This window comes from Homo sapiens, chromosome 5 (genome assembly GCF_000001405.40).
Source record: "Homo sapiens chromosome 5, GRCh38.p14 Primary Assembly".
In the NCBI taxonomy this organism is placed as follows: domain Eukaryota; kingdom Metazoa; phylum Chordata; class Mammalia; order Primates; family Hominidae; genus Homo; species Homo sapiens.
In genome coordinates, this window is record NC_000005.10 from 127,169,800 (window position 1) to 127,180,384 (window position 10,585).

General features: G+C 39.0%; 2 pseudogenes; both read right to left on the reverse strand.

Annotated features, from left to right (window-relative positions):
* Positions 1 to 530: 530 nt before the first annotated feature.
* Positions 531 to 10,048, reverse strand: LOC112267893 (RNA-binding protein 15-like; annotated as a pseudogene).
* Positions 6,901 to 7,273, reverse strand: SELENOTP2 (selenoprotein T pseudogene 2; annotated as a pseudogene).
* Positions 10,049 to 10,585: the final 537 nt, after the last annotated feature.

Genomic DNA, 10,585 nt, shown 5'->3' on the forward strand with positions numbered 1-10,585 from the left:
TATTTATCTTTGTTTTTGTTGCATTTGCTTTTGGGTTCTTGGTCATGAAATCTTTGCCTAAGCCAATGTTTAGAAGTGTTTTTCTGATGTTATTGTCTAGAATTTTTATGGTTTCAGGTCTCAGATTTAAGTTCTTGATCCATCTTGAGTTGATTTTTGTATAAGGTGAGAGATGAGGATCCTGTTTCATTCTCTTACATGTAGCTTGCCAATTATCCCAGCACCAATTGTTGAATCGGGTGTCCTTTCCCCACTTTATGTTTTTGTTTGCTTTGTCAAAGATCAGTTGGCTGTAAGTATTTGGCTTTATTTTGGGTTCTCTAGTCTGTTCCATTGGTCTGTGTGCCTACTTCTTTTTTTTCTTCAAAAGAAACAATTTATTTAGAATAAAACAAAAGCAGCTCAACTGTGAGTACATGTTTGAGAGACAGCTACTCTTAAGCTGTGTGAGCCATCAAAAAGGTTTTTCTTTACTCTTCTAGAAATCTTATGTACATAGCACAAAGCAAACAGGTCATTTTTTTCCCCACTTAAAACACTGGCATTGGCATCACAATGGCAGATACAAAACTTTAAGCTGCCATTTTAGTGAAATGCACAAATACTAAATAGATTACCTTTCTTCCATCAGAGGGCCACGTAAATTCCACATAAGCCACAATTTCTCTTCAAAAAGGTCCATTAGAGCTTTGAATTCCACATCTCCATCTGCTGTTCAACCAGTTTTGCATGGACAATAATCATGACCAGGTAATCTTCTTCAGATTTAGCCAGTGCCTTGGAATCCAGGAATTGGTGGGAGAGCTCACAAGGTGGGAAGGCAAGAAGGATCCCGGCGTTTTCCTTGTCTTTGTTGTGCCCCCCTCACCAGGCTGATCACCCTGGGTACCTGCTTTTGCTTTAAATAGGACACAAGGCTCCTAAGCAGCCTCTTAGTAGAAGTGACAGTGTCTGAGGAAGAGGGGGACCGGCTGTCAGAACTTCCAGGCACAGCCAGAAGAATGGCATAACCATTAGGCCCTGCTACTTTGATGCATCGAGTTACTTCATCCAACTTGGGCTGGTCTAAACAGAGACACTGAGTGATCCTGAGCTGGGCCACTTTGGCCCTCCACAAGAAGACTGCTAGCCACTTGGAGGTCACCCTGCAACAACTGCATGTTGGAATGTTGGAAGGAAAGTTGCTGTTCTTCAGTAGAAGCATGCCCTGCCAGGCCAAACAGAGTTTGGGAGAGGCTGCTGCCACAGGGGCTGTCCCCTCATCCTGTTTCTGGGAAGGGGACTTCAGCTTCCAGGAAGCAGTGTTTGTGCTAGGTCCACTCCCATCAGTGTGGTCTTCTTTTTTCAGAAGGTTTTTCCCCTCAGTGGTGCTTCCTATCCACTCAGCTGAGGCAGAGTTTTTATGGTCTCGCTTGTCATCCTGGCTCTTCTCCAAACTACCTCATCCGTCTCTGATCAGAGAGGGCATTTCCAAGAGAAGACGGGAAGATGGATCATTGTCGCTGTTGTAAGGATCCAGGCTACTGCTCAGTTCTGGACTGTGGTCAGAAGAAGGAGCGCAGTGACATTTTTGTGGGCAGTCACTCTCAGGAGACCTATCGAGATGCCGTCCTCCACTCTCATCAGGCAGCTTTTGCTTACCAGGCTGGTCTCTGCTGCTGGGCAGATCTTGATCACCTCTGTCCCTGTCCAAAGACCAACAACTATCCCGCCTGTGATCCAGGCTATTCAGTGGCTCGTAAGCAGGCACAGCAGTAGCTGCAGTCCCAGTGCTGCCTTCTCCGATTGGGGGTGGGGGTGGCACCCAATCTGAATCAGGATAAAGGTCTCTATCACAATCTCTGTATAGTAAGGGTGGTGTCCTATCCTAAGCACCCCTCAAAGGGTCAAGGGCCTGATGTCCAAAAGCATCTGTCACCAGCTCATAATGAGTCAAGGGCAGAGGCTGCATATATTGTTGCTGGTAACGACGTTTGGTGTCTGCAAAGTCTAGTCTAAGGTGGTGATCTGGGCCACCAAGTGGGAAGTCCTGCATATGGGTCCAGGCAGCGTGCACTGCATCCAGGCTTTCATACTGGATATACACCCAACTGTCACCTTTCTGTAGTCTGTGGGGTGTATGGTGCCAAGTTGGTCAAACTCTCATGTCAGGGCAGCAAGAGGCATCCAAGGTTTCAGGCCACCCACCCAGAGGTGGGTGGTGTGTGTAGCTTTACCATAACCAATTTTGATAGGATTCCAAATTATAATTTTGCTGAACATTGCTAATTTGGCCCTGTGGGACATATCTAGGTTCTCAAATTTGAGAAGGCTGTAATTACTGCTCTGGCCAAGAAAAGGGCTCTTGATATCTACTTCTGTGATGACTCCAAAGCAATCAAACGCCCTTCTTATGTCACTCTCTGTTACAGTTGTGTCTAGGTTGCCCAAGAAAAGCATCTGGTTAGTTCTATGATGATCCTTGGGTGACATCTCATCCACTTTTCTGAAAGGAGCAGCATCTGCTTCAGCTCCCTCCCTTGGTTTAAGACTGTATGCTGGGGGCACTCTCTCATAGAACAGATAGTCTCCTTTTCTTTCCAGCTCTCTAGGCAATGGTGGCAGAGGTGGAGAGGGTAGGCGGCCAAGAGCCATCTGCTGCAGACCTATCTCTGTATCCCAAAGCCGCACCACCAGAGGAAAGTGATCTCTGGCCTCCACCACCTCCAGGGGAGTGCGGGTGACCACCTACAGAGGCTCCCACCACACTGGCTGATGGAGGATAAATATCTTTGTCTAAAGGGGAGCAGCTGTGGTGCCTGCTCCCATGCACAGCTTCTGTCTTCAGAGGCAAGTCAGAGAGCACCAGGCCGCCTCTGTGTGCTTGGCCACCCGCGCGTCCTCTGGCTGTGGGAGGTTCACAAAGGCTACCAGCTCATCTCCACTGCCAGAACCCGACAGCTGATTGATTTTGACCCTTACATCCCTGAAGCCTTTGAACTCATGAAACAGGCCATCCTCCACCGCTTCCTCACTCAGCTAGGACAAGAGCTGAAGAGGTGGCCCCAGAGGAAAGCGACTCCACCCCTTCACCCCTCCACCCCAGGAGCTGCTGCGCGACTCGCCCTGCCCGAGTAATTTTTGGTGCTGGGAAGCTATAACTATGCAAGACGCCAGTGTAGTTGCCCCCACTAGTGTCATACTCACGACTGCCACCTCAGCTGCTGGACTTGTCCAGGTGGAGACTCTGTTGCCACCTGCTGCCACTATTGGTCTTTCTACTGCTGCTCTCATTTTTCTACCAGTACCATGCTGTTTTGGTGACTATGGCTTTATAGTATAGTTTGAAGTCAGATAATGTGATGCCTCCAGATTTGTTTCTTTCAGCAGTGTTTTGTAGTTTTCCTTGTAGAGGTCTTTTATCTCCTTTGTTAGGTATATTCCAAAGTGTTATTTATTATTATTATTATTATTATTTTGGCAGCTATTGTAAAAGGGGTTGAGTTCTTGATTTGATTCTCAGCTTGGTTGTTGTTGGTGTATAGCAGAGCTACTGATTTGTGTACATTAATTTTGTATCCTGAAACTTTGCTGAATTCATTTATTAGTTCTAGGAGCTTTCTGTTGGAGTCTTTAGGGTTTTCTAGGTATACTATCATATCATCAGCAAACAGCGACAGTTTGACTTCCTCTTCACCAATTTGGATGCCCTTTATTTCTTTCTCTTGTCTAATTGCTCTGGCTAGGACTTCCAGTACTATGTTGAATAGAAGTGGTGAGAGTGGACATCCTTGTCTTGTTCCAGTTCTCAGGGGGAATGCTATCAACTTTTCCCCATTCAGTATTACTTCGGCTGTGGGTTTGTCATAGATAGCTTTTATTACGTTAAGATATGTCCCTTCTATGCTGATTTTGCTGAGGGTTTTAATCATAAAGGAATGCTAGATTTTGTCAAATGCTTTTTCTGCATTGATTGAGATGATAATGTGATTTTTGGTTTTAATTCTGTTTATGTAGTGTATCACATTTATTGACTTGCATATGTCAAACTATCTTTGGTATGAAACCCACTTGATCATGGTGGATTATCTTTTTGATATTCTGATGGATTTGGTTAGCTAATAGTTTGTTAAGGATTTTTGCATTTGTATTCATCAGGGATATTGGTCTGTAGTTTTCTTTTTTTGCTATGTCCTTTCCTGATTTTTGTATTAGAGTGATACGGGCTTCATAGAATGACTTAAGGAGGATTCCCTCTTTATCTTGTGGAATAATATCGATAGGATTGGTACAAATTCTTTGAATGTCTGAAAGAATTCAACTGTGAATCCATTTGATCCTGGACTTTTTTTGTTGGAGGTTTTTAAAATTACCATTTCAATCTTGCTGCTTGTTATTGGTTTTAGAATAGAATAGCATTTCTATTTCTTCCTGTTTTAATCTAGGGGGATTGCATATTTCCAGGAATTTACCCATTTCCTCTAGGTTTTCTAGTTTATGTGTGTAAAGCTGTTCATAGTAGCCTTGAATAATCTTTTGTATTTCTCCGGTATCAGTAGTAATATCTCCTGTTTCATTTCTAATTGAGCTTATTTGGATCTTCTCTCTTCTTTTCTTGGTTAATCTCACTAGTGGTCTATCAATTTTATTTATCTTTTCTTTTTTTTTTTTTTTTTGAGATGGAGTCTTGCTCTGTCGCCCAGGCTGGAGTGCAATGGCACGATCTCGGCTCACTGCAAGCTCTGCCTCCCAGGTTCACACCATTCTCCTGCCTCAGCCTCCTGAGTAGCTGGGACCACAGGAGCCCGACACCACACCTGGCTAAATTTTTTTGTATTTTTAGTAGAGATGGGGTTTCACCGTGTTAGCCAGGAAGGTCTTGATTTCCTGACCTCGTGATCCACCCACCTCAGCCTCCCAAAGTGCTGGGATTACAGGCGTAAGCCACCACACCCGGCCAATTTTATTTATCTTTTCAAAGAACCAGGTTTTTGTTTCATTTATCTTTTGTATTTTTTGGTTTTAATTTCATTTAATTCTGCTCTGATCTTTGTTATTTATTTTCTTCTGCAGGGTTTGGGTTTGGCTCATTCTTGTTTGTTTTGTTCCTTGAGGTGTGACCTTAGATTGTCTATTTGTGCTCTTTCAGACTTTTTGATATAGACATTTAATGCTATGAATTTTCCTCTTAGCAAGGTCTTTGCTGTATTCCAGAGGTTTTGATAGGTTGTGTCACTATTATCATTCAGTTCAAATAATTTTAAAATTTTCATCTTGATTTTATTGTTGACCCAATGATCATTCAGGACCAGGTTATTTAATTTCCATGTATTTGAGGGTTCCTTTGGAGTTGATTTCCAATTTTATTCCACTGTGGTCTGAGAGAGTACTTGATTTAATTTCAATTTTCTTAAATGTATTAAGACTCATTTTGTGGCCTATCATATGGTCTAACATGGAGAATGTTCCATGTGCTGATGAATAGAATGTATATTCTGCAGTTGCTGGGCAGAATGTTCTGTAAATATCTGTTAAGTCCATTTGTTCTAGGGTATAGTTTAAATCCATTGTTTCCTTGTTGACTTTCTGTCTTGATGACCTGTCTAGTGCTGTCAGTGGAGTATTGAAGTCACCCACTATTATTATGTTGCTGTCTATCTCATTTCTTAGGCCTAATAGTAATTGTTTTATAAATTTGGGAGCTCCAGTGTTAGGTGCATATATATTTAGAATTGTGAAACTTTCCTGTTGGATAAGTCCTTTCATCATTATATAATGTCCCTCTTTGTCTTTTTTTAACTGCCATTGCTTTAAAGCTCATTTTGCCTAATATAAGAATAGCTACTCCTGCTTGCTTTTGATGTCCATTTGCATGAAATGTCTATTTCTATCCCTTTACCTTAAGTTTATGTGAGTCCTTATGTGTTAGATGAGTCTCTTAAAGACAGTAGTTACTTGGTTGGTGAATTCTTATCCATTCTGCCATTCTGTATTTTTTAACTGGAGCATTTAGGCCATTTTCATTCAACGTTTAGTAGTGAGATGTGAGGTCCTGTTCTATTCGTGGTGCTATTTGTTGTTTGTTGCCTGAATATCTGTTTTTTTTTAATTGTGTTTTTGTTTTGTAGGCACTGTGAGATTTATGCTTGAAGGAGGTTCTATTTTAGTGTATTTCAAGGATTTGTTTCAAGATTTAGAGCTCCTTTAGCCATTCTTGTAGCGTTGGCTTGATACTGGTGAATTCTCTCAGCATTTGTTTGTCAGAAAAAGACTGTATCTTTCCTTCATTTATGAAGCTTAGTTCTGCGGGACACAAAACTCTTGGCTGATAATGGTTTTGTTTAAGGAGTCTGAAGATAGGGCCCCAATCTCTTCTAGCTTGTAGGATTTCTGCTGAGAAATCTGCTGTTAATCTGCTAGGTTTTCCTTTAGAGGTTACCTGGTGCTTTGCCTCATACCTCTTAAGATTCTTTCCTTCGTCTTGACTTTAGATAACGTGATGACTATGTGCCTAAGTGATTATCTTTTTGCTATAAATTTCTCAGGTGTTCTTTGAGCTTCTTGTATTTGGATATCTAGATTTCTAGCAAAGTTGGGAAGTTTTCCTCAATTATTCCCTTAAATATGTTTTCCAAACTTAGATTTCTCTTTTTCCTCAGGAACACCAATTAATCTTAGGTTTGGTCATTTAACATAATCCCAAATTTCTTGGAGCGTTTGTCCATTTTTTAAATTATTTTTTCTTTGTCTTTGTTGGATTGGGTTAATTCAAAAACCTTGTCTTTGAGCTCTGAAGTTCTTTCTTCCGCTTGTCTGATTCTATTGCTGAGACTTTCCAGTGCATTTTGCATTTCTCTAAGTGTGTCCTTGATTTCCAGAAGTTGTGATTGTTTTTTATCTATGCTATGTATTTCACCGAAGGCTAGGAGCTTGTATGCCAAAGAAAGCAAAAGGATCCTTGACAACAATTATTAACCCTATTAGTAATAGACTGAAGGCTGTCAGGAAAGATGCTATGTGTCTATATATTGGTTGAGGGAGGTAATTCTCTCCTTCAGTGTGATGTCTGGGTACTGCTGGCTAATAACCCACATGTGCTCCTCAAACACCCACCTGTAACCTTAGGAAACAGAAATCTAGAACTTGAGCGGTGGCCCTGTGGTGTATTGCATCTTTAATCTCTTGCTGGGCATGCTGCCCAGGTTGGCCACCACTGCCGACACCACCAGGAGAAGTAGCAGAAGCCTCATCTTAATTGAGCCAGCTGCTTCAGCTGCCCTCATACTGAGACTGCCTATCATACACTTTTAAAATTAATCTATGCTGCTAACATTTTCTCTGTTATCTTTTAAAGTCTAGACTAGGGTTTTCTGTAAAGGCCAGATAGGAGATATTTTATGCTTTTTGGTCCATATGGTATCTGTTGCAACTATTCAACTGCCATGAAAGCATAAAAGCAGCCATGGATGATAGTGAACAAAGAGCTGTGGCTGTGTTCCAATAAAACTTTATTTACACAAACAGCTGGCAGGCTGGATTTGGCCTACTGGCCATAGTGATCCTTGTTCTACACAATCAATGAAATAATAAATTAAGCCCTGATTTTAGCATCACTAACTTTTGTGATGTAAATGCTCCCACCATAGCCAATTTCATGCTATCAGTATGGCATCATGAAATAAAGACTTGGGAAAAGATGCATAGCAGCATTCCATGCTTATAGTATGTCCATTGTGTGGACACGATAGATATAAATAACCTCAGAAGTCTTGATAGTAGTAAAATGTATCAAAGTAATATGAATGATAAGTTGTGAATATTTATTAGCTTCATTTCTAACATGATTTATTTCATTTTAAGTTGATATAATTTATTTTGTAATAATGGCTATGTTTAACAATCAGCTCACAAAATCCCTGAAAATTTAACAATTGGCGCCTGTGAGCTGTGTGTAGTTACATGGGAATAGAGAATATCAGACCTATTATTTATAGCACATACTGGAATAAATTTCAAATGGCTCTAAGAGATAAATGTAAAAATAAAATGAAATCACACAAGTTCTAGAGAAGGTAGGATGAAGTCCTCTACAATCTGTGAGTTGGGAAAAGTTTCTAAACTATGGCTAAAATCCAGAAGCAATAAGGAAAATGAGATTATATTAACTTTATAAAATGAATTGAAACTCTTTTTTTTTTTTGCATTTTCTGGAATAATTTATAAAACAGGAATTAGTTTTTGAAAGTTTGATAGAGGCCGGCATGAGGTAGCTCATACCCGTATGTAGTCCCAGCTACTCCAGAGGCTATGGCAGGAAGATCCTTTAATCCCAGAAGTTCAAGATTGCAGTGAGCTACAATCATGCTACTACACTCCAGCCTGGGTGACAGAGCGAGACCCTGTCTCAAAACAACAACAACAACAACAAAAACCAAGTTTGATAGAGTTCATTTTGAAAGCATGCCGGCAGGCCTGGAGATCTTTGGTTTGGAGATTTAACTACCAATTAAATTTCCTTAATCCTTGTGAGTCTATTTTAAGTTTCCTTTTTCTTCTTGGGTTAGTTTGGCATTTTATATATTTTCCAGGAATTTATTTATTTTATCTCTTTTGAAACCTGTAATTATTTTCCTATCTTTATTTTTTGATCAGCGTTTTATTTACCTTTGTTGTCTCCTTTTCTCCTTATTCACTTTTATCAAAAGTTTATCTTAGCAATCTTTTCAAAAATAGAGCTTTTTAGTTTTATAAATCTCTTCTACTTAAAAAATGTATTATATTGTTTCCTTTATTATATCTTTTTTCTTCTTTGGGTTTGCTTTGATGTTCTTTTTTATAACTTCTTGAGTTGGATGCTTAGCATACTTTGTTTCAACTTTTATTGTTTCTTCATAAACATATTTAAAGGTATAAATGTTCTTTCTAAATAATACTTTAGTTATGTACCATATATTTTGTATTTCCAAGTTCATTCAATTCTAGGTATTTACTCATTTTGATTATAATTTCATTTTTAACCTGTGAGTTATTTAGCAATATGTTACCTTCAGAATTTGAGACATTTGTAAAAGTTTTGTATTATTAATTTCTTGTATTATCTCATGTTTAGAAGATAAAATCTGCATGAAGTCTGGGTGCAGTGGCTCATGCCTGTAATCCCAGCATTTTGGGAGGCAGAAGAGGGAGGATCCCTAGAGCCCAGGAATTTGAGACCAGACTGGGCACATAGCAAGACCCTGTGTGTACAAAAAAATTCTTGAAAAATAGTTGGGTGGGGTGATGTGCATCTGTAGTAGTTCTAGCTATTCAGAAGACTGAGGTGGTAGGGATGGCTTGAGCCCAGGAGTTAGAGATTGCAATGATCTATGATCATGTCCCTGCACTCCAGCCTGGGTGACAGAGTTAGATCTTGTTTCAATAAAAAATCTGCATAATATTGTCCCTGGGTTTATTGGAACTTTCTGTAAACCTAGTCTACTAGTGTAAATATGTGCATGATTCTAAAAATATGTATGTGCTATTTGTTGCATAAACTATTGTAGCATATATATATATATAAATCATACCATTGGAACATACATATTAAAGATCTGAACAATATAATTAATAGTATGAGTCTATTAATTATAATGTTTAGATAAAAATCTGTTTAATTTTTGCTTAGTACTTTTTTTCTCATTAAAATTTGTTTTAATGTGTCTCAAAATTCTGTGAGAGAGCTGTGGTTAAGTTGTTTCCATTAAAAAGTACTAATTTTAAAAACTAATAACTTAAAACTGCCACACACACAGACACATACACACCAAAGTGGTCCACAAGACATTCTCCTTTCCTTCTGAAGGTTTTATGATGCATTGCTTTCATTAACCAGTCTTTTACTATTAAACTTAAATGGCCAATTGAAACAAACAGTTCTGAGACCATTCCTTCACCACTGATTAAGACTGAGGTTGCAGGTATTAGGGGTAATATTCATTTGGGCTTTCTGGGCAGACTTGGTGACCTTGCCAACTCCAGCAGCCTTCTTGTCCACTGCTTTGATGACACCCGTGGCAACTGTCTGTCTCATATCACGAACAGCAAAGCAACGCAGAGGTGGATAGTCTAAGAGGCTCCCAACATACTGCTTAGTAAATTTTTGATAGTTGGGTGTTAAAAAAAAACTCCCAGTGATTTATCTGTTTCTCTACTATACAGTTAGTGTAACCTATTATTAGGTGCATATGTATATTTGCAATGGTTATATCTTCTCACTGTTGTTTTATTTACCCCCCACATTAAATTCTCTTTTGTCAGCTATTATGAATGCAATTCTGGAATTCTTTCGGTTTCTGGTTTTTGTTTTTTTTTTGTCTTTCACTCTTTCATTTTCAAACTTATTATGTCTTTTGGTTTTAAGAATGTTTGTCATAGAAAACATATTTTTGGATTGCATTTTTACTTCTTAATAACATAGAGAGTATTTGTCTTTTCATTTGTGAACTAAAACCATTTATATTTGTTGTAATTTTTATTATATTAAGAATTATTTATTCCATATTTTATATTTTCAATTTACTCCACTTTCTTTTGTTTTCTACTGGCTTGAAAATTATATATTCTATTT